The sequence below is a fragment of the Homo sapiens genome, chromosome 12 (assembly GCF_000001405.40).
Source record: "Homo sapiens chromosome 12, GRCh38.p14 Primary Assembly".
Lineage (NCBI taxonomy): Eukaryota > Metazoa > Chordata > Mammalia > Primates > Hominidae > Homo > Homo sapiens.
In genome coordinates this window covers 122,118,358-122,141,547 of record NC_000012.12, presented here as the reverse complement: position 1 = coordinate 122,141,547, position 23,190 = coordinate 122,118,358, and the positions used below count along the sequence as shown (strand labels likewise).

Genomic DNA, 23,190 nt, shown 5'->3' with positions numbered 1-23,190 from the left:
GGGCCGACACCGAGACCTGGGCACTCACCCCTCTGCCTCCAGAAGCCTCCCCAAATCCAGGAGCTGCCGTAGGTGGAGCATCCTATGCTGTTCCTGGTGCCATGGGGCTGCCAGCTGTTCTGATATTAAGCTTCTATAACCTTAACATATGGGATAATCTTTGCTTGTTGTTATAAGAATTAAACAAGAAAACACACCTGAAGGCACCTGATACAGGGCCTGGCAAATAGTTGGCACTAGATCCATGCAAGCTGGGTCTGAACAAGCTGGGAGACACAAAAGGGCAGGAGCCTCCTGCCCCCACTGGGCGCTCCTGACTGAGGACCTCCTGGACAGCACTGTGCCCCTGCCCCGGCCCCACCTGGCTGCCTGCAGTGGAGTCTGGCTAATACTGTCCTCAGCCTGGGGCTGTCCTCCCTCCAGGACTAGCATGAAGCCCCCCACCCTGGCACTGCCCCACTCACTCGGCCTGAGGATGGGCAGGGAGCAGTGCTGGTCCAGCCAGGAGAGCGCCGTCCGGTGCAGCTCCTCCAGGCTGCTGGTGGACACCATGCCCTTGAACGACTCAAACAGCGGCTTGATGATGATGCTGAACTGCAGTGTGTGGTTAAAGAAAAGGCAAGCACGGAGAGGGGCTGGGGACTGCAGACCCGAAGGTGGTTGGACTGGCGTACTCCTTTCCCCTGGGGCTGGAAAGTATCTGCCCACAGAGAATGGATCACTGGGGAAAAGAGGGAGAGATCTCTAGGCAAGGTGTGTCTTCCACTTCATGAAAACACTCTGCTCTAACTGTACCTGGACAACAGGGCCGCTCAAGCACCGAGCAGGCAGGGGACAGGGACACAGAAGGTCTCTAGTCTGGAACAGGTCCTAGCACAAACATGCGATCAAAATCGTTCTTACATACAGTGCCAGGAACATCAAAGGCACAGAGCAGGTGGAAAGGCAGAAGCCAGCCGGGCGCGGTGGCTCACGTCTATAATCCCAGCACTTTGGGGGGCTGAGGTGGGTGAATCACTTGAGGTCAGGAGTTTGAGACCAGCCTGGCCAACATGGTGAAACCCCATCTCTACTAATACAAAAATTAGCTGGGCGTGGTGGTGGGTGCCTATAATCCCAGCTACTTGGGAGGCTGAGGCAGGAGAATCGCTTGAACCCGGGAGGCGGAGGCTGCAGTGAGCCGAGATTGCACCACTGCACTCCAGCCTGGGTGACAGAGCAAGACTCTGTTCTCAAAATAAATAAATAAATAAATAAAGGCAGGAGCCATCTGCCTGAAAGTGGCGTTTGCCTTCTGTGTTAAATGCAAAAGTGCATGCCAGTCTCCTAGACCATCTTAGTGAAGGCCTGAGGCATGTTTCCCCTCGGACTTTGATCAGGACGGCACTCACAGTTCCTCCACCTCGGCCTGATGATGGGGAGTATGCCATTTCATCAAAGAAGCTCTGATTCATTCCAGACGCCACCCAGCTCTATTAATGACAGGGATCAGGACCAGGGCAGGCAGTAAAACAGCAACACAGAGGAATCAGAGCTGGTGCCTGTCATCTCTTCAATTAAAAACTGCCTCTTATGGCCGGGCACGGTGGCTCACGCCTGTAATCCCAGCACTTTGGGAGGCCAAGGCAGGGGGATCACCTGAGGTCAGGAGTTTGGGGCCAGCCTGGCCAAAATGGTGAAACCCCATCTCCATTAAAAATACAAAAATTAGCCGGGCGTGGTGGCATGAGCCTGTAGTTCCAGCCACTCAGGAGGCTGAGGCAGGAGGAACACTTGAGTCTGGGAAGGTGGAGGCTGCAGTGAACTGTGATTGTACCACTGCACTCCAGCCTGGGTGACAGAGTGAGACCCTGTCTCAGGGGGAAAAAAGAAACAAACAAAAACACTCTGTCCCTTCCAGCACACACAGGTGCTGCGCCCTGCCCTGCCCGATAGCTGCAGCTGGGATTCTCTCCTCCTGCACGACCGTCACCTCTGACTGTCAGACCCTTGCCCCAATGCCACGGTCAACCCAACACATGTGCCGACCGTTTACTCAGAGGCAGAGCGGTGGCAGGGTGGGGAGTGACCAGGCGGGAACCACTCCCCGTGAGAGCCGTGCTGCCACCTGGAAGGCTGAGTGCAAGGTGGCCTTGGCACGAGAGCCCCTAGAGGTGGACATGCTCCATTAGGCTTCAAATTGGGCTCTACCACTCAGTGGAGGGAGTCCTGGTTTCCGCCTGTCACAGCAGGGGTGGCACTCACCCTCCCTGTGGCTTCGAGGACCGAGCTGGCTGCCAGGCTGTGTGGAACCATGCCTCCTTCCCCTGCACCTTCTGCAAGTGGCTCTAGCATTGTCCTGATTTCTTAAGGACCTAGAGAGCGAAGCCCACCGTTCTACCTCCCTAGCCCTTCCTGCAAAGCACCCTGAAGCCCCATCAGCACCTCCAGCCCACACAGCAGGCCAGGCCGGACCACTCTCTCCCGAGATAGACACTAGCACTGCCTGTCGTGAGGAGCTTGGTGACAGGCATTTAAAGAGTCTTTCTAAAGTAACTACAGTGCCACGGTCTGTGGCTTCAGTGCATTGGCTGAGGGCCGGGAAGAGCAAAAAGAAAACCCAAAGATACAATCCAGAACTTCCAATTCTGCAAGGTCCGGGTTTTCACGTATTCGTCAAACATGTCTTTCATGTGATCAAACTGGCGCCGGGTAACGGGGACTCCCGTGGCAGGGAGCAGCTGCTGGCAGGAGCTGAAATGACAGGAGCCGTGGGAGCTGTGGAGCAGCCAGTGGCCAATAAGGACCCTGGGACAAAAGATGGCAGGGCTGGCCCAGTGCCGGGCCACAGCCAGGCACAGAGAAGAGAGGTCTGTGGAAGGAGGTTGACAAAGAGCAGAACTACTGCAGCAAAGAGGCACTGACCAGTGATGAGGCCACAGGGTCCCACCACCTCTGAGGCAGGCCCTGCATCGGGATGGGGTGCCTGGTTGGAGCCCCAAGGCCCAGAAGCTCACATGATGGTGGCATTGAGCTCCTCGATCTCCTCCCGCAGCCGCCGGGCCTCCTCCTGCATCTGGCCTCTCTCCTGCTGCAGCTTGGTGATGTACTCCACAGTCTTCTGCAGTGTGATGGCGTGACTGGTCTGCAGAAGGGGCAGGTGGCTGGAGGCAGCACCCACAGCCAGCAGGCCTGCCACCAGCAATGACCACGCAGGGAGCACGTCCTGCCAGCTCCCCTGCCCTGCCACAGCCCACGCTCTTGGCAACTCACCAGCTTGGAATTGTTGGAGATGAGGCTGTTGAGCATGTCGAAGCACATCTTGATGTTGAAGCGCCTTTTCTGCTCAGCTGAGATGTGCTTCATCTGCCGGTTCTGCTGGAGAACCCGCTGGTCACTAAGACAGGCACATTGCAGGCACACTGTCCACCCTTCCTCACCCCCTACGCTGATCCTGGGTGCCCAAGGGCCAGGGCTAGAGAGCTACGTGGGAGGAGGGCACGACGAGAAGCTGAAGGCTCCAATGAGGAGCCGGAGGGACAAGACTGGGAACCACAGAAAACCCGCTCTGCAGAATGGTGCACAGCTGGGGCTGGGAACGGCAGGGCTGAACCGGTGCATCCCAGGTGCTGCAAGCTCCGCCTTCCCCACCCAGCCCTGCCTCCTCCCCACAGCACAGCTCTGGTGGTGGCCACACCCCTCCTGCAACTGATGCGGGCAGCCTGAGCAGTACCTGCACACTACGTGGACTCAGCGTTGGCTCCCAGGCTTGGGGCTCACCCAAAAGCCTCCAGGGGGCCCACCATCCCCACAGGGCTGGTTCGTGGCATGGGGCAAGGAGAAGCCCATTTCTGATCCACCCCTGCCTGGGCAGCTCTGGCTGGGTCTGAGGTCTCCGTTCCAGACAAGACACAGATCCTTGATGTCCTGCACTCCTCTCCCCTCCTCCCAAGGGAACCAAGAGGAGACATGCGGTACCTTTAGTGCAGCCACATTTTTGGGGTCGGATTTCCCTGAGCAGTTGTTCTGGGGAGATTGAGGACTGGGGCTCTGCTCCGATGCACACGGAGAGGCCTGCCCTGAGTTTGGGCAGTCCCGACCTGGTAAGAACAGACTCCTCTGAGGGGCGGAGGCCTGGCCCCTCAACGCCACCAGGAGGCAGCCTGGGGTCTCTGCAGGGTTATGAGGTGCTCGCTGCTAGCCACGTATTGCACTTGGTTCTTTCAACTGCACACACATGCTTCCTTAGATTATTCTTATTCACTCCCTGAAAATCTTAAATTAATAACAACAACAAAAACACCCTTAATCCACACAGAACACGATGGAGCAACCCTGTGTGACGTGTTCCAGTCACTGGTGTCGCTTTACGAGATATTTCGCAGGTGGGCTCTTTATTATTATTATATTTTTTAATTAAAAAACATTTTTTATAGAGCCAAGGTCTCACTATATTGTCTAGGCTGGTCTCAATCTCCTGGGCTCAAGCGATCCACCTGCCTCTGCCTCCCAAAGTGCTAGGATTAGAGGAGTGAGTGACCGTGCTCAGTCCCAGGTGGACTCGGCCTTCTCGGCCCATTCTGCTTTACTGTAACAAATGCCTCCGCTTCCTTTCCTCTCTGCTGGATTATTTTCCCCAAACTCCCCGTGAGGCTGTGCAGCAGGCTCTAAGTTCTGTGTTCTGAGACTCCGGAGACCAAGGCAATGGTTGGCCCTAACCTCTCCCTCGATTATTTGAGGGGCCTGACTCCCAACTCTCTTGTTTCTATCTTTCCAGACTGAAGAGTCCTTACTCTCCAAAGCCTGTCCTTGGAAAAGGCCCCTGCTGGCTGAGCCCACTAAGTCAGAGACCCTCCCTCATTCGCGTCTTCCTGAGGGAAGAGGGAGACAACTGTTTGCTCAGAGTTCCAGGAGCAGCTACACCATGCCTTTGTTTGTTTGAGATTGAGTCTCGCTCTGTCACCCAGGCTGGAGTGCAGTGACTCGATCTCAGCTCACTTCAACCTCCACCTCCTGGATTCAAGTGATTCTCCCATCTCGGTCTCCTGAGTAGCTGGGACTACAGGTGCATGCCACTAAGCCCTGCTTTTTTTTTTTTTTTTTTTTTTTGCATTTTTTGATAGGGACAAGGTTTCACCATGTTGGCTGGGCTGGTCTCGAACTCCTGACCTCAAGTGATCCACCTGCCTTAGCCTCCCAAAGTGCTGGGCGTACAGGCATGAGCCACTGCGCCTGGCCTACACCATGCATTTATTTAAGAAAAGAGGCCATTTCCATTTCCCTTCCTGGTATGGCAGGCATTTGAGGGAAGGGGCCCCATCTGCCCACACCCTCTACCAGCAGCACAGCCTCGGGCACACCATTTGTCCCTGATCTGGCCTGTTGGCTCCTCAGATGTCCCTGGGCAAAATCAGTCCTGCTCTGACTATCTTGCCCCTGGATGGCCTAAGAGTGGACATGGGCCACAGACCTGTAGTGCTGAGACCTGCTGGGGAAGGCCACGTTGGTGCCCAGATGAGGCTGGACGGCTTCTGTGGCCACAGCAACCCCAGGCTGATGCTCCCAGAGACAGGAAGCCCAGGGCTCCTCAATCCCTTCTCTGGGTGAGATCAGCAGCTCAGTACCAGGCCTTCGTGGGCAGTCAGCAGGGACTCCCCGAGCACACGGGTCACCTACACTGCCACATGTTCACTACTTTTTGCCCTGCCAGTGCCACCACATTTCATCCTGCCACCCACAGAGCGTGTTCCCAGACTGTGTTATCAGCAGGCCTACAAGACCTCACTGTGTGTCCTAAGCCCAGGCTCCGTCCTGGGGACCCAGCAAGCACCCCCCATGGTCTACGGCAGGCCCAGTTACTTCCCTTGCGATGCCCCAACCATCCCGCCGAGTGAACACTCACTGGGCCCTGTGACAGTGACCTGGGGGCTGCCCCCATGCAGCGGGACCTGCTCGCCCTTCCCCAGGGGGTCTTGCGCTGTGCTTGGGAAGAGCCGGGAGACGGGGGCAGGCGGGCTGCTCGTGCCATGGCCGAGATCTGTCACCAGGATGCTGCTGTGGAACTCCGGGACCCCAGGAGCCTGCAGTGACATGGGAGACAGGTCACCCCTGACTGCTGATATACAGCAGGGCGGCACACCAGTCGTCTCAGGTGAGGGCCGCCCAAGATCAGAGTGCTCCGGGGTGAGAAGGACACTGCAGGTCTGCCTAGGGCCCTCCTCACCCTGGCGATGGCAGCAGGCGCAATGACCACGTTGGACTGGGACACGGTGGAGGCCAACATCCCTTCTCTCTTCAGAGGCCCTGACGTCATGATCACCGCTTGTGGTTGGCCTGAAAAGGCAGCTGCCAGGATAAGGAGGATGTTCAGGTGCAGCCCTGGGCCACAGGGCCTGGCCCACCCTGCAGAGGCTGCCTCTCTGCCAGTGAGACAGCTTGTTCTCAACCCCAGGGGACAGGAAGACAAAGCCACCAAGGCACCTAAAACCATTTGTGTGACTTCTTGAAGGAGACATGTTATAGACCCAGGAAAGAGATGGCCAGGACCATGTTTTCACACTGTAGGTTGTGACTAACTTTAAAAAAAAGATAGAGAGGCTGGGTGCAATGGCTCACATCTGTAATCCCAGCACCTTGGGAGGCCGAGGCAGGTGGATCACCAGAGGTCAGGAGTTCGAGACCAGCCTGGCCAATGTGGTGAAACCCCATCTCTACTGAAGATACAAAATTAGCCAGGTGTGGTGGCACATGCCTGTAATCTCAGCTACTCAGGAGGATGAGGCAGGAGAATCACTTGAACCCGGGAGGCAGAGGTTGCAGTGAGCCAAGATCATGTCATCTCACTCCAGCCTGGGCAATAACAGTGAAACTCCGTCTCAAAAAAAAAAAAAAGAGAATAGAGACTGGGTGTGGGGGCTCACACCTGTAATCCCAGCACTTTGGGAGGCCAAGGTGGGCAGATCGCCTGAGATCAGGAGTTCGAGACCAGCCTGGCCAACATGGTGAAACCCCATCTCTACTAAAAATACAAAAAATTAGCTGGGTGTAGTGATGGGCGCCTGTAATCCCAGCTAACTCGGGAGGCTGAGGCAGGAGAATCACTTGAACCCAGGAGGCGGAGGTTGCAGTGAGCCGAGATCACACCACTGCACTCCAGCTAGGCGACAGAGTGAGACTCCATCTCAAAAAACAAACAAACAAACAAAAATTAGCCGAGTATAGTGGCGCACACCTGTAATCCCAACTACTCGGGAGGCTGACGAAGGAGAATCGCTTGAACCCGGGAGGGGGCGGTTGCAGTGAGCCGAGATTATGCCACTGCACTCCAGCCTGGGCAACAGAGACTGTCTCAAAAAAAAAAAAACCAAACAAAAAAACAAAAAAGATAGAGCATAGAAAACGGACTAGATCATGGCCATGTATTATTTCATGACACTTTTGTTTCATTTAAGTGTATGTGTGTGCGCATGCACGTGCACACCAGGGTGGTGGTGGTGGTCACAAGTTTGAAAGCCTTTGGGATGGGAAAACATCCCTCTGGGTCGGGGGGAGCCCCGCACTGAGTCTCCCCGCCTGGCTCACCTGGGGCGATACGGGCATTCTTCAACACCAAGGACACGGGCTCTGGTTTGGGAGCAGGCACTATTTTGTGGGGCTGCTTAGGCCTGCCCCCAGTCAAGGATACAGGTTTGGGGTGCACAAAAGTTAACCGTGGCTGGGGAGGCCGGGTGACAGGAGACAGTGCCAGCCCACAAGGGGCCGCTGACGGGGCAGGGTGATGGGTGGTGATCACAAGGCCCTGACTCTGGCTAAAGGTGGTGGCGGGGGCATCGTGGGTGAGGGTGGCAGAGGCCGTGTGGGTGATGACAGACGGCGCTTTGTTGACTCCAGCAAACTTCTGTGGCTGATGGAAGGTGGGTGGAGCCGGGGGGTTCAGGGCAGTGGCAGGAGGAGGAACTAATGGTAACACGGGGGAGATGGGCGGTGGGGCGGGGCTGGGAGACAGCAGGGGCATGGTGAAGACAGGGAGGAAGGGCTGCGGGACACTCAGTGGCGGCTCTGAGGGACCGAAGTCCGTGGGCTGGATAAACGGGTCCTCAGTCCGGGAGGTGTGTTCACAGCCCTGCTCATCCATGTGAGCCAGGGATGGGGCGGTAGGGGGCGCGATGAGGCTGTCAGGAAGGCTCACAGTGGGGAGGGCTGTGGTCGGCAGGATGCTCTCCTGAAAAAGGAAGAAAGGAGCCAGGAAGCAATGCTGGGGTCAGACAATTCCTTTCTAGCGCTGCACACTGCCAAGTCCAACTACACAGGCCGGGCGCTGGGACAGAGGGACAAAGGCCACGTCTCCACGTCCATGGCTGCTGATCTGATAGGGATTTGTGTTTCCCTGCGTGTCTGCGGGGGTCTTGTTTCCATTAAAAACTAAATAACTCAGAGCTCAGATAAGGCAACGGCCCTCACACAGCTGGCTAGCAGCCTGGGAATATCTTGTTTCTGGAGTCCAGCAGAGTCTCCCCAAAGTCTCTGCCATCTTCTATTACTGAGCAGAGGCAGCCTGGATTGCAGCTGCTCGGGAATCCCCGAGGACAATTTCACGTGTCAACTGGTCATCAGGCCACCTCTTCCTAAATAAGAAAAGCTACGAGGAATCAATGGTTCAGATCCCAGTCTCTGCAGTAGCAATTCTTCCCGGAGCCCGTTTGAAGATGGTGCCAGGTTACCAGTGTCTAACTGGTCATGGGCATAAGCATGAGGGCTCCGTAAGGACAAAGAATGGTACCTCACTCAGCTCTGTAGCCCCAAGCACCTGTAAGCAACTTTTTGGATTGCTTAGTAAAACGTGAAAGAAATATACAGAAGTTATTTTTATTAGTAATCCATGTTTTTCTTCTCTGTCTAGCTAATTCTGTGTTAATTAGTCGGAGCAGAGCTAGCTGCACATAGGTTACCTGGCACTCAGGCAGAAGCACACCTGGACCAAGAGTCTCCCACCCCATGGGTGCTGAAGGATGCTGTAAAAGAGGGATGGAATCGTGCCTCTGCACATTAGTGCTGGTCTAGCACTGCTTGGCGCTTTGCTGGTGACTGTGTGGCTATGCCATTAGCCTTGCTCTGGCAGCAAACCTTTGATGAGCAGCCCTGTGCCTGCCAGCCCCTTCCCCCACCCATCCCCCAGCTTCCTCTACCTGTGCAGGTGGGTTGTTGGGATCTGGTACAGGTGCTGAGGCAGATGCAGGTAGCATGGAGCCAAAAATGGAGCGGCTAGAAGAGAAGAGGTCTGAAAAACAACAGCAGGGGTCTTCTGAGCTCAGTGTGCCCAGCATTTGCTGGAATCAAGACTCAAACAGGGCCAGGCACGGTGGCTCATGCCTGTAATCCCAGCACTTTGGGAGGCCGAGGTAGGCAGATCATGAGGTCAAGAGATCAAGACCATCCTGGCTAACATGGTGAAACTCCATCTCTACTAAAAATACAAAAATTAGCTGGGTGTAGTGGCACATGCCTGTAGTCCCAGCTACTCAGGAGGCTGAGGCAGGAGAATGGCTTGAACCCAGGAGGCAGGGGTTGCAGTGAGCTAAGATCGCACCACTGCACTCCAGCCTGATGACAGAGCGAGATTCCCGTCTCAAAAAAAAAAAAAAAAAAAAAAAAAAAAAGGTGCCAACCACAACCACCATGCCTGGTTGGTGCCACCAGTGGTCCCAACTACACAGGAGGCTGAAGCGGAAGGATCGCTTAAGTCCAGGAGGGAGGTTGAGGGTGCAGTGAGCCGTGTTCTTGCCACTGCACTCCAGCGTGGGCTACAGAGCAAGGCTCTGTCTCAAAATAACAAAGACTAAAACAGGCTGGGTGTGATGGCTTACACCTGTAATCCCAGCACTTTGGGAAGCAGAGGCAGGAGGATCACCTGGGCAACATAGCAGACCCCCGTCTTTACAAAAAAATGAAGAAATGAACTGGGTGTGGTGGTGTGTGCCTGTAGTCCCAGGTACTCAGGAGGCTGAGGTGGGAGGATCGCTTGAGCCCAGGAGTTCAGGGCTGCAGTGAACCATGATTGAACCACTGCACTCTAGCCTGGGTGACAGTGCAAGACCCTGTCTCTAAAAAAAAAAAAAAAAAAAAAAAAAGACTCAAACAAATCAAGGACTAAACCCCTAAACCCCACATGGCCCAGGGGGATGCCATGGACAGAGGGTATTACCCTGAGACACCTTTTTTTCTGTAGAAAGGGGGCTCTGGTTGGAACCACACATGTTGGCAACTATCCTGGGCTCTGAAACACTCCCAGGCCTGACGTTTCTGCTGCTGTCACAATGGCAGGTGCTCAAGGACCCATCTAACTGCAGGGCCTTGGTAGGGAGCTGGCTGTGTCATCAGTGCCCTCTGCTGCTTCGAGGGAGAACTGCTTACAGTCACGGCTAAATCCAGAGCCAATTTCCTTGCTGAACAATGTCCCAGAAAAACTTCCCAGACCTTGCAGTTACTACAAAAAACAGTTCAGTTTAAAAAAAAATTCTTTGCTCGCCCCCTTGCCCATTCTACCAAGTCTCGCCTCTTAAAGGAAGGCAGCGATCTGCTCTGTGCTGGGCTGGGGGAGATGGAGGCAACCGTGCTCTCTCTGCCTCTGGTCCTCACCCTGGAAAGGCTCAAAGGTGTCCATGAAGTCCAGGTTAGGCTGCAAAGGAATCAGTCCCGGCTGGATCATGTCTGCATTTCCCAGATGTGCTGCAAGAATCACAGAGAGAGGAACCATTTTGTCTTCTCAGACAATGTTGCAGGAACGTAAAAAAGGCCTGGAACAGAACTTCCTGGCCCTGCTCACATCCCAGAGTCTTCCAAGGAGCTGGCTGGGATTTCTACCTTCTCAGGGTTTGTGGCCATTCCGCACCCTCAAAAGGCAGGAAAGTAAGTTTTTGCCAGGAAGGTAAAATTGAGTATCAGGGAATGGACACCCCAGGAAGCTGTAAAGAGCTCAAGAGAGAACAGAGACCTCCCCGAACACTGTTCTAATTTTCAATCTTTGGGCTCTTCCCTGAGAGGTTAACTGGAAGACTGAATGCCACCAAGGTGAGCGGTCACACCCGGGAGTGCTTCTGATTTTCTTTAGCATGAGTCACGGCCCGGCCGCCTCGGCTTAGGCACGGCACACGTACCCCGTGAAGAGAACGGTATCTGAAATGTGCCAATGACTCAGACTAGACCCTGCTGCTGTCCTCCCACCATGGCACTACGGGAATGGCAGCTGCCCAGTGGGCCCACTCTGCAGACCCCACCCACTCGGTACGTGCGGCCTGGATGTCAAATGAGGCCAGCCATCCTTCCCTTCCTTACTGCCTGCCCCCAACCGTGACGTGCAGCAGCTCAGAGATGGCCCTGAAGGAACCCTGGCCCAGAGGGGGCCTGGCAGAGAAGGAAGCGGCTGGCTGTTCAAAGCCCAAGGCCCTGGTTTGGGTTACCTATTTCCCGGGGATTGGGCCAGGCCACCGGCTGGTGTGAAGAAAGTGTGGAGAAGAGGGTGTCGCTGAATTCCGACATGAGCATGTCTGTGTCCAGCAGGGGATCCTCCTCCATGGGGACGGGGGTCTTCCATCCATCCCCGTGCTTGTGCCAATACAGCATGTCATCGTCCTAACACAACACCAACACAGGGGAGGAAGCATCAAAGAGTAACAGTGGGACGAAGAATTCCCACGCCTGTCACCTGGGGAAATTCGTCAAAGGGGTGCTCAGTGGAAGTGAGGCAGCAGGGTGGAGGCATTTGGAGAGCGGCTCCCTCCAGCCCACCCAGGAGAGAGAGCTGGACTGCTTCTTGAGCCATTCCTGAGACTCCAGGGAGGGCCCATGGCCTGCCGCCTTTTGCAGGGCTCCCTGGTGGGCCACCGAAGTCCCTGCTGTCTCATGTCAAAGTGGGGGTCCTCAGAGCTCCCAGGCTCACCCACCTGGACCAGGCTGGAGAGGTCCTCATCCTTGTGCTGCTGTAGCTGTGGGCAAAGGGACAGGACACGGCGGTCACCAATGGCCCTAGGAGGGCCCAAGGGCTCTAGAATATACAGAACTCTCAGGGAGGCAGGTAGGGGTCCTGCTCACACCATCCCCAGGCCGATGCCTGCACAAAGGAGACTTCCACCCAGTGCACAGATGGGGAAACTGAGAGCAAAGACAACCTGACCGAGGCAGGCCATTGCCCAGGCTAGTCTGGCACGCTGGGCCCCAGATTTACTGCTTGACGCTCCACGTTCAGGTGGGGCGGCTGTGGAGCCTACCGCCTCGGCCAGGGCCCTGAACCAGGGACTCTGCCCACTCCCTCCCTAGGCGGGCTGCCTGAACACTCCAGCCAGATACCCTTTTCTTGAAGTAGGTTCTCCACTTGTGATACTCCCGGATCACAATCTCGATGCGGCTCTTCCAGTACTTCCCTTCCGTGGTGATGGCCTAGGACAGGGACAGAGAGCAGAGTGAAGAGGGGGCTCTGCTTGATTAGCAAAGCTCAACTGGTGTACTGAGTATCCGGCACTATAATCAGGCCTTAGGCAATCCAGCGGGAAACCCCACAGTGGCTACCACATCACTCAGAAAGTACGTCCCACTTCTTCCATGCTATAGCAGACCCTCTAGCTAACAATGCGCTGTCATTTCAAGACCTAAGGTAGCCAAAGGCCTTGGGGGCACGGTCCTGAGGCTCTGTCCAGGAGGACAGGGTGAGAGCAGAATGCTCCACAGAGGAAGAAGCAGGGGAACGCTGCAGCAATTCCCAAGCCCCCCCATAAATGCCCCTTCCCCACAGCCTCTGCCACATTCAAAGGGCAAAAATGAACAGCCAATTCCAGGAAGTTTCAGGTGGAATGTGCCCTCCAGGGGCCTCTCATCCAACCTTCGCGTGATGCCAGTGTGGATGCCTTGCATGACAGCCTTCGAGCTCCAGAGATAAGGAGCCCCAATGCCTGGGGTTGCCTCACTTTCTGATCTCAAGGCCCAAATCACCTCACCTACAAACACTGTGTGTGTGTCCTCGACAGCAAAGATGCTTTTCTGTTAAAAAGAACTGATTACAATATTGCCATACCCAACAAAATGATATCCCTTGATACTGTCTAATACCAGATTATACCTGTCTCAAAACTGTCTTTCATTAGCTTACCTTCTAAATTCCCCCTTTATCGTTAACAGTGAGACATGCCTAGACAAAATTAAAGCCACACAGAAGAGTATGCAGTGAAGAAAGCATCTCCCCCTCATCTGGCAGCCCTAATCCTACTCCCCAGAGGTTCCTGAAGTCTCTTAATAAAGACACTTCTATATATTCCTCTAGACACTTCCTGTGCATGTATAATCACACATAGACACACACTTTAAAAATTAACAGAAAGATATTAACCCCCTCAGTCCCTGGGCCAGTCCCTCTGAGAAGGGGGAGGCTCTGCAGCCTGGGGTTGCCAGAGGCCACCAGCTCCCAGGCCTGGCCCCCAGGGCATGGATGGCGCAGGGCAGGCGCTGCACTACCCTCGGCAGCCTCTCCTACAGGACCAGCCCGCGGTGAGCCACTCCCGGTGAGGTGCTGGTATGTTTCCACTCTCAGCCACCCTTGGTCACTGCCAAGTACCTCCGGCCGGCGGTGCTCGTCTACGTCCACAGAGCCGTCCAGGGGTGTCACAAAGTGGCACACAGGATTCTTGCGCTTCTCCAGATCTGAGCAGAGAGAGGGTGAGAGTCAGCACCATGATCCAGACCCCTGAGGGAGCCCCAGCCTGTCTGCTGCACCCCTCCCCTAGGGCAGACCACATTCCCAGGTACCCTTTCCTTCTCCTTCCCTAGGAAAAGGAGATTTCAGGGAAATAAAGGAGTCCAGGTGAAAGGAGAGGAATCTGTCAATAACGAACGCCTCAGTCAGAGAGGCAGTGTGGCTTCTCAGAGAAAGACCAGCCCAACACAAGCCTGCCCTAGCACACTCATCTCCCGGAGAAGCTACCGGATCCATGACACTCGGGCTGGAGAGAGAAGGCCCATGCCTGAGTCTTCCTAGACCTGCTCCCTGACTCTTCAGATGCCACCCCTCTGCTGGGCCTGATGGCTTGGGTTTCCTGTCTGCACAGACTGAACTTCTGTTAGAAACACCAGGTCCCAGGAGCAGACTCTGGTCCCTGGGTGCCCAGGCCTCCAGGCCGTGAAGTTCTGACCACCACCGGCGCCCAGGCTGGGCGGCACTTACACTGCATGTACCAGGCCCGCCAGATGGCATTATTGAGCCGGATCTTGTCTCTCCACTGTAGCTTCAGGCCCTTGAAATTCTTCCACTTTGGAGACACCAACTTCCCACTGAAAGGCAAGGCAAAGCGGGGAGACTCAGTGGTTACTCTGAAATTGAAGTGAAATTACAAAGTGCCACCCGATCATTCCAGGACCAAACTCTTGACTGATCCACCCCCAGCCATACACCCGGCTTCATGGAATTCAGGTCACTGGGGGATTTCTTCAGAGCCACACAGGGCAGGGCATGGTGGGGATACTGTCAGGGCGCGGAGGGCAGGACTGGCCGTGGGGGTTTTGCAGCCTTGGAGCCACCCACCAATATCTGTTGAAGGGACTTTAACCCAAACACCTCTGCAGAGGGCTGCTGGGAGGATTCCATGAACCAGACTAACAAACTGAACACTGGGCATGCAGTGAGTGCCCTCCAGGAGGAGCAAAGGTTACATTTGGGCTGTTCATTGTTATTCACATTTGACCAGCCTCCCTTCCTGGATTCAAAGTCATTCTTGTTTCCAGAGAGGGGCAGACCAAGGGCAGTCATGGGTCACACAGCAACTGGTGTGTGCGGTGGCAGCATGTGGGGTTCACTACATTCTTCCGTCTACTTTGGCATATCCTACAAATTTTCCATAACTAAAAATTAGAAGAAATCTGTTGACCACAGAGTGCAAACCAGGCTCCTGTGACCTGGTCGTGGCCTGCCTGCTTTGCCACCAGCCCCCACGAGGCATTCACAATCCAAGTACCCGAGCATCCCACTGGCCTGAGTGCCTGCAGGGCAGGGCCTATTCTGCCTCCCAGAGCCTCTGACATGGTCCTCACTCTTGATGGCCCTCCACTCAGCCACCTCCTAATCCTTCAAGATGCTGCCCCCGACACCATCTCCTCTGAGCTGGCCTGGCCTCTCCCAGGCTGCTGCTGATTCCTTCAGGGCCCCTCTGCTCTCCTCCACTCGGGGACGGTCTCACGGGAGCTCTTATGTAGTAGTGTCTGCACACAAGCACCTTTCCCTGTTGACACTGCAGCTCCTCTAGGGAGGACGTTTGGTGGCTTGGCACATAGTAGGGGCTCAATTAACAATTCTTCATTCAATAAGTCCAGAGCACTTGTAAACCCAGCCTCCCTGGTGGCACAGCTGTCTTGGGCAGCTCAGTTTTCCAAGTGCTAGGCCGGGAGCCATCTCTGGGCAGCCCGCATAGGGTTTCTCTTTTTCAGATGGCTTGAGATGGGCAAGGCACTATTTCTGGTCCATATCACAGTGCGGCTGTGGAGGTTTGATCTGACCACAGGCCACAGCCCTGCCCCTTCTCCAGTCCCACTCAGAAAGGCCACGTGGCAAGCCGAGATTTGCCAACAGTAGCTGCAGTCTTCACAGGAGGCGCCTGAGCAGCAAACATTCTGTGAACCTGGAACCTGCCCTGGAAGGCAGATGCCCTGGCTGTGCCCCTGGCAGGACCCTTGTGCCTATCCCCACCCAAACCCCCAAGGAGCCCAGGCTTTGGGCAATACAGGCCAGAAGGTTATGACTCCCCCAGAAAAATGTCACAGTGCATCCTCTCAGCACACAAGAGACACGCAGACAGCAGCAGCCTCTGCACAACGGGTCAGGGACTCAGAGTAGTCACACACCTTCCTTCCTTCCTTCTCTCCCAAGTTCAAAGGCTCATCTAACCCACCTCCATGCTGATGGCCTGGCCTCACCGGTGGTACAGCAGGCAGCTACGGAATCAGACAGCCACTGCTGTGTCATGGCGTACCTGCTGCCTACCACAGCAGTGCCCTGGGTAAAATCAGAATGACGCCTCCTCCTCTAGAGTGTGTTAATAAGGACTAAATGAAAGCACATTTGGGTACAGTAAAATACACACACACATACATGTTTAGACACACACACAACTGGTAAACCCTAAAGCAAACACAAAGATATTAATAACAATCTCAATGATCTAGGGTTAAGTTATTACTGAAAGGAATAATTTTTTTTTTTTTTGAGATGGAGTCTCGCTCTGTTGCCCAGGCTGGAGTGCAGTGGCGAGATCTTGGCTCACTGCAACTTCCGCCTCCTGGCTTCAAGCGATTCTGCCGCCTCAGCCAACCGAGTAGCTGGGACTACAGGTGCCCACCACCACATCAGCCAAATTTTTGTTTGTTTTTGGAGATGGAGTTTCGCTCTTGTTGCCCAGGCTGGAGTGCAATGGCGCGACCTCAGCTCACGGCAACCTCTGCCTCCCGGGTTCAAGTGATTCTCCTGCCTCAGCCTCCTGTATAGCTGGGATTACAGGCATGCGCCACCACACCCAGCTAATTTTCTATTTTTAGTAGAGATGGGATTTCATCATGTTGGTCAGGCTGGTCTGGAACTCCTGACCTCAGCTGATCTGCCTGCCTCGGCCTCCCAAAGTGCTGGGATTACAGGCGTGAGCCACCAAGCCCGGCCTAATTTTTGTATTTTTAGTAGAGACAGGGTTTTACCACGTTCGTCAGGCTGGTTTTGAACCCCTGACCTCAAGTGATCCTCCCACCTCGGCCTCCAAAAGTGGTAGGATTACAGGCATGCACCACCGTGCCTGGCAAAAGGCATAATTAAAAAAAAAATTGTTTTGATTTTTATGAGTACATAGTAGGTACATATATTGAAGGGTATGATGTTTTTAACAACCCCCGCCCTGAAGTCCTTTCTCTTATGTTTGCCATATTGCCATGTGGTTCCTCTTTCTCCACAGGTGGAAAAGGTGACGCCGGTGCCCTCTGCCAACACCAGGAACAGAGACCTGGGCAGAGGTCAGCTCCGAGTGCCAGGCCAGCCCTGAGGGTGGGATTGCGTAGCTGCAGAAGCCTCATCTGCTCTGCACTGTGAAGAGCCGAGGACTGAGGGCGGGGGACGGCTGAGGAGGGGGACGGCTGAGGTGGGGGACGGCTGAGGGCGGGGGGGCGGCTGAGGTGGGGGACGGCTGAGGACGGGGGACGGCTGAGGAGGGGGACGGCTGAGGGTGGGGGGACGGCTGAGGAGGGGGACGGCTGAGGGCAGGGGGACGGCTGAGGTGGGGGACGGCTGAGGGCGGGGGGGCGGCTGAGGTGGGGGACGGCTGAGGGTGGGGGGACGGCTGAGGAGGGGGACAGCTGAGGGCGGGGGACGGCTGGGGCGGGGGACGGCTGAGGGTGGGGGACAGCTGAGGCGGGGAGGTTCCCCTCATGCAGCACGCCTTGGGTGGGAGCACACGTCATGCCTCTGTGCTCAGCGTCCTGAAGGGCAGATGGCTGTGGGCACAAGGTGGATAGCCAACCTGACCAGAGCAGTGAGGGGAGGCTTTCTGGAGGAAGTGGCGTTTAAGCAAAGGCCTAGTGGATAGGGAAAGCCAGCTCGACAAAGCCCACACAGTTCCTTCTGCCTGGCCTGTGGTGGCCCCAGTGAGCAGAACTCAGCCTGATCGAGGCAGTGAAAAGCCCTCAATGTGTGAACAGGGCATGGTGGCATGCGTCTGTAGTCCTAGCTACTGGGGAGACTGAGGCAGGAAGGTCGCTTGAGCCCAGGTGTTTGAGGTTGCAGTGAGCCATGATGGCACCAATGCACTCCAGCCTAAGTGAAAGAGCAAGACCGTCTCAGAAAACAAACAAACAAAAATAACCAACCAAAAAAGGGAGTCTGAAGGCAGGGGGTACAGCAGACAAAGCTGGAGGGCAGAGGGTGTCATACCAACAGCTTTAATCACACACAATGAGGGGAGCGGCAAGACGCAGGGAAATTTAGCCTTACAGGCTAGAAACCTCAAAGTTTAGTTTGAGGGTCCCCTCTTCTTCCTCTCCGTGAGCTGAAATGTTTCCCTTTTCTTTGGGTGTTTACGTCAAACACAGTCAGACTTCAGCAGCAACACAGAGACCAGAACTCCCAACTGGGATCACCGTTCCACCCCGAGTTTCGGTAATATCTCTATGACCAACAGGTGGCGCTCAAGAAACACAAAGAAGGGCGTCCAACTCAAAATCCAAACAAACCAGCCACGGCGGGCCGGAAAGGGTCGACGGCCTGCACCCCCAGCCCGCCCCCAAGGCAATTTCAAGTCAAGATCTGAGGAGGCAACGCGTGAAGTTCTGTGATGCCTCAGAAGGTGGCAAGGTGGCAATGAATGCGTCAGGTGTCACAAAGGAAGGGACACCCTGGACGACTCATGCCCAGAAACCCTGGGCAGGCTCCTGATGGGCCTGGCAGAGCTGTTAGGCTGTGCCCCGTCAATCTTCAAGGAGAGGAGCAGGGACATTTCCTACGCAGACCTCCACGGGGACCCTTCTTCACAGGGTACTCAGGAAAAGCTGCTCTAAAAGTCCCACAATGGGCCAGGTGCAGTGGCTCACGCCTGTAATCCCAGCACTTGGAGGGCTGAGGCGGGAGGATCACTTGAGCTCACGAGTTCCAGACCAGCCTGGGCAATATAACAAGACCTCGTCTCTTTAAAAAAAAAAAAAGAAAAAGAAAAGAAGGCCGGGCACGGTAGCTCACGCCTGTAATCCCACCACTTTGGGAGGCCGAGGCGGGTGTATCACGAGGTCAAGAGATCGAGACCATCCTGGCTAACATGGTGAAACCCCCGTCTCTACTAAAAATACAAAAAAAATTAGCCAGGCGTCGTGGTGGCGGGCGCCTGTACTCCCAGCTACTTGGGAGGCTGAGGCCGGAGAATGGCGTGAACCTGGGAGGCGGAGAGTACAGTGAGCCGAGATCGCATCACTGCACTCCAGCCCGGACGACAGAGCAAGACTCTGTCTCAAAAAAAAAAGAAAAAGAAAAAGAAAAAAGTAGCAGGGAGTGGTAGCCTGTGCCTGTGGTCCTGGCTACTTGGAAGGCTGAGGTGGGAGGATCCCTGGAGCCCAGGAGTTGGAGGGTGCAGTGAGCTATCATGGTGCCACTGCACCTCAGCCTGGGTGACAGAGAGAGACCCTGTCTAAAAATTTTTTTTACAAAGCCCACAAGGGAGCCTGCAGCAGTGGAGGGCAGCCCTCCCTGGCAGAGCCCCCAGGGAAGCACCGCCAGAAAGCGTCTGTGACTGGGGGGACTTCTGCTCCCCTAACTCATGCTGCCAGCTCAACATCTTCCAGACAAAGGTGACTGGGCTGTCTCTTAGTCTAACTTGGATTATGCTCCATTCCTTCTTTAAAGCAGACCAGAAACATGTTCTGACCATTTCTGCAAGACCACTGGCTTCCCCCAAGACACGCAATCCTCCTCTGGCCTCCACCTCCTGAACCCGCCCCTGCCATCTGCCCATCAGAACAGAGGTCAACTGCACTCACCCATTCGCTAGCCCTCTCCTCACCCTCTGTGGGAAGGCCATCGCCTAGGGTCGCCAGCACAGGGCCTGGCACGTGGGAGGTGTTTTAAATATGCAGTTATTAAATGAATGCTAAATTTTCCATGAAGAACAATCTTTACACCACCCTGCCACAGCTGCCCTTCCTAGAAGGCAGGTTCTTGACATGAAACAGGAAATTCACAGTACAACAAAGGTCTCTCTCAAAACTTTTCTTGGATGAAACTAGCAAACTATGAATTCCTCAGAGGGCTGGCAAGAGACTGCTTTGGAATGGAAGGAAATTAAATTGCAAGCCTTGCACAGACCAAGCTGGAAGTAAGAACAGGGGCAGGCAGAGAGGGCAGGCCGGGCATGGCCAGGTCAGGGGTCCCTAATTCTGTTCGGTCTGGCTGGGACGAACTCCTGACTCCTGCTCAGACCATTCTCTCCAAAAGAAAGCAGGCAGAGGCCGGGCACGGTGGCTCACACCTGTAATCTCAGCACTTTGGGAGGCCGAGGTGGGCAGATCACGAGGGTCAGGAGGGTCACGAGACCAGCCTGGCCAACATGGTGAAATCCTGTCTCTACTAAAAATACAAAAATTAGTCAGGCATGGTGGCACGTGCCTGTAATCCCAGCTACTCAGGAGGCTGAGACCTCGCCGCTGCACTCCAGCCTGGGCAGCAGAGCAAGACTCCATCTCAATTTAAAAAAAAAAAAAAAAAAAAAGGCTGGGCACAGTGGCTCGCGCCTGGAATTCCAGCACTTTGGGAGGCCGAGGCAGGCAGATCATGAGGTCAAGAGATCAAGACCATCCTGGCCAACATGGTGAAACTCCATCTCTACTAAAAATACAAAAATTAGCTGGGCATGGTGGCATGCATCTGTAGTCCCACCTACTTGGGAGGCTGAGGCAGGGGAATCGCTTGAACCTGGGAGGCGGAGGTTGCAGTGAGCCAAGATGGCACCACTGCATTCCAGCCTGGCGACAGAGTGAGACACCGTTTCAAAAAAAAAAAAAAAAAACCAAGCATGCAGAGGGCTCTGGGGCTATCGTTATAGGTCTCAGAACAGTGGTGGAGCCCATTCATTTGTTCATTCAACCATATTTGTTTGTCATGGGACAACGTTTCTTCACCATTCCTGGTGCTTCTTAGAGGGACACCCCTTAGCAAAACATCCCTGGCTTCCTCCCTACTCCCTGACAGACAGGTAGAGTGGGGCATCTCACAGTGAGTGCTGCAGGACAGGTACAATGAGTGCTGAAGAAGAACCTGGGCTGGGGTCGTTCCCTCCTTCCCCTGCTCCTGAAGAGGGGGTGGAGGTGGAAGGTCAGTCCAGGGTTCTCTTACAAGCCATATCCTCAGCTTGGTCAACAATAAAGGTAATATTTTGGCCACCATCTGCTGACTCTTTTTCTTGTAGTAAAATAAATATAAAATTTACCATTTTAACCATTTTAAAGTAGATGATTCAGTGCCATTAAGAACATTCACAATGTTTTATAACCAGCACCATTACCTAGTTCCCCACTTGTAATCCCAGCACTTTGAGGGGCCAAGGCAGGAGAACTGCTTGAGCCCAGGAGTTTGAGACTGGTCTGGGTAACGTAGTGAGAGACCACCATCTCCACAAAAAATCAGAAAATCAGCTGGGCTTGGTGGCATGTGCCTGTGGTCCTAGCTACTCAGAAGACTGAGATGGGAGGATTGCTCGAGCCCAGGAGGTCAAGGCTGCAGTGAGCCACTATTGTACCACTGCACTCCAGCCTGGGTGACAGGGCAAGACCCTGTCTCAAAAGAAGAAAAGAAAAGAGAAAAGAAAGAGAAGGGGAAGGAAGGGAAGAGAGAAAGAGAGAAGAAGGGGGGAGGGGGAAAGAAAGAAAAAAATATTCTCAGAACTTCATTACTTTCAAGGCAGAATCATATTCCATGTATAGATGGACCACATTCTGTTTATCCATCATCAGTAGGACACAGGTCGTATCCACCTTTGGGCTACAGCGAATAGCGCTGCTACAAAGTGATTCCTCCGTTTTACTTCCCAATCAGTTTAGAGCTCTGGTGGGGAAGAGTTCTCGTCACTAAGCTGGTGCTGGGGATAGAATGATGGGCAAAAACAATTGTGAGCCTTTTTGAAGGGCAAGCTGACAACTGCCCATCAACACTGTAACTGCACATCCCTGTGACCCACAAGCCCACTCCTAGGAAGTGATTCGACAGATCCACCTCACATGGGCACAAAGACGTGAAGAGAAGGACATTAAACTGCAGCACTGTTTGCGGCAGCAAAAGGTTGGAAATAACCTAGATATTCATCACAGGGAACCAGTCAAAACTGGCATATCGCCAGGCGCGGTGGCTCACGCCTGTAATCCCAGCACTTTGGGAGGCCGAGGAGGGTGGATCACAAGGTCAGGAGATCGAGACCATCCTGGCTAACACGGTGAAACCCCATCTCTACTAAAAATACAAAAAATTAGCCGGGTGTGGTGGCAGGTGCCTGTAGTCCCAGCTATTTGGGAGGCTGCGGCAGGAGAATGGCATGAACCTGGAAGGCGGAGCTTGCAGTGAGCTGAGATTGCGCCATTGCACTCCAGCCTGGGCGACACAGCGAGGCTCATCTCAAAAACAAAACAAAACAAAACAAAAAAACTGGCATATCTACACAGTGGAACACTACGGGGTAATTTTTAAAATAACACATTTCTATGTGGTAACACATAGGGAAGACCTACAAGATGCACTGTTAAGTGAAAAAACAAAAATAAAACCAAGGTACAAGATATATGGTATGGCTACCATTTGTTTTTCTTTTTTCTGTTTTTTTGTTTGTTTGTTTTGTTTTGTTTTGTTTTGTTTGTTTTTTTGAGACAGAGTCTCACTCTGTCGCCCAGGCTGGATTGTAGTGGCGCGATCTCGGCTCACTGCAAGCTCCACCTCCCAGGTTCACGCCACTGTCCTTCCTTAGCCTCCAAGTAGCTGGGACTACAGATGCCCGCCGCCACCATGCCCAGCTAATTTTTTGTATTTTTAGTAGAGACGGGGTTTCACCATGTTAGCCAGGATGGTCTTGATCTCCTGACCTCGTGATCTGCCCGCTTCGACCTCCCAAAGTGCTGGGATTACAGGCACGAGCCACCGTGCCCAGCCCATGTGTTTTTTATTTTTATTATCTATTTTTTTTTTTTTGAGATGGGAGTCTCACTCTGTCACCAGGTTGGAGTGCAGTGGCAATCTCAGCTCACTGCAACCTCCGCCTCCCGGGTTCAAGCAATTCCCCTGCCTAAGCCTCCTGAGTAGCTGGGATAACAGGCGTGTACCACCACGCCCAGCTAATTTTTGTATTTTTAGTAGAGACAGGGTTTCACCATGTTAGCCAGGCTGGTCTCGAACTCCTGACCTCAAGCAATCCACCCACCTTGGCCTCCCAAAGTGCTGGGATTATAGGCGTGAGCCACTGCGCCCGGCCTGGTATGGCTACCGTTTATATTCAGAGATATCCACACAGACATGTAGGAGAGGAGGGAGGAGAAAAGACAGCCAAGATGGATACATAAGAAAAGGTAAGAGTGCCACAGCGATTTCCCTTTGCAGAGATGAGCTGGAGAAGCAAGGGGTCCAGTGAGAAGGAGTGTTCACTGAACACCGTTTTGTATTGTTGAAATATAACACTGGAA

The 23,190-nt window shown here is 54.2% G+C and overlaps 1 protein-coding gene across 7 annotated transcripts in view, besides 4 other annotated features; it reads right to left on the bottom strand.

Moving 5' to 3' along the window:
• Positions 1–23,190, bottom strand: part of MLXIP (MLX interacting protein) — a 68,589-nt gene that overhangs the window by 5,797 nt on the left and 39,602 nt on the right. Inside the window, exons 2-17 of one of the 7 annotated variants that reach the window (XM_006719290.5) lie at positions 14,186–14,292; positions 13,580–13,665; positions 12,322–12,411; positions 11,919–11,960; positions 11,436–11,607; positions 10,615–10,704; positions 9,165–9,256; positions 7,561–8,200; positions 6,203–6,324; positions 5,882–6,059; positions 3,958–4,079; positions 3,253–3,357; positions 2,997–3,124; positions 2,610–2,733; positions 465–594; positions 29–140 (exon numbers count right to left, since the gene is read on the bottom strand). In XM_006719290.5, the coding sequence (XP_006719353.1) occupies positions 29–140; positions 465–594; positions 2,610–2,733; positions 2,997–3,124; positions 3,253–3,357; positions 3,958–4,079; positions 5,882–6,059; positions 6,203–6,324; positions 7,561–8,200; positions 9,165–9,256; positions 10,615–10,704; positions 11,436–11,607; positions 11,919–11,960; positions 12,322–12,411; positions 13,580–13,665; positions 14,186–14,292 (2,340 nt within the window). The other 6 variants (XM_006719291.5, XM_006719292.5, NM_014938.6 and 3 more) reach the window with 6 other exon arrangements.
• Positions 2,520–3,382: an enhancer, noted in NCBI's record as "H3K4me1 hESC enhancer chr12:122622713-122623575 (GRCh37/hg19 assembly coordinates)". NCBI's record gives its function as "activates a minimal SCP1, AML or CMV promoter by ChIP-STARR-seq in naive H9 embryonic stem cells {active_cell/tissue: H9 hESC(naive)}" and the evidence as "EXISTENCE:reporter gene assay evidence [ECO:0000049][PMID:30033119]".
• Positions 10,862–12,061: an enhancer, noted in NCBI's record as "MED14-independent group 3 enhancer chr12:122614034-122615233 (GRCh37/hg19 assembly coordinates)". NCBI's record gives its function as "activates an origin of replication core promoter dependent on BRD2, BRD4, P300/CBP and CDK7 cofactors, and independent of MED14, by STARR-seq in HCT116 cells {active_cell/tissue: HCT116}" and the evidence as "EXISTENCE:reporter gene assay evidence [ECO:0000049][PMID:35650434]".
• Positions 13,988–14,498: an enhancer, noted in NCBI's record as "H3K27ac-H3K4me1 hESC enhancer chr12:122611597-122612107 (GRCh37/hg19 assembly coordinates)". NCBI's record gives its function as "activates a minimal SCP1, AML or CMV promoter by ChIP-STARR-seq in naive H9 embryonic stem cells {active_cell/tissue: H9 hESC(naive)}" and the evidence as "EXISTENCE:reporter gene assay evidence [ECO:0000049][PMID:30033119]".
• Positions 14,499–15,011: an enhancer, noted in NCBI's record as "H3K27ac-H3K4me1 hESC enhancer chr12:122611084-122611596 (GRCh37/hg19 assembly coordinates)". NCBI's record gives its function as "activates a minimal SCP1, AML or CMV promoter by ChIP-STARR-seq in naive H9 embryonic stem cells {active_cell/tissue: H9 hESC(naive)}" and the evidence as "EXISTENCE:reporter gene assay evidence [ECO:0000049][PMID:30033119]".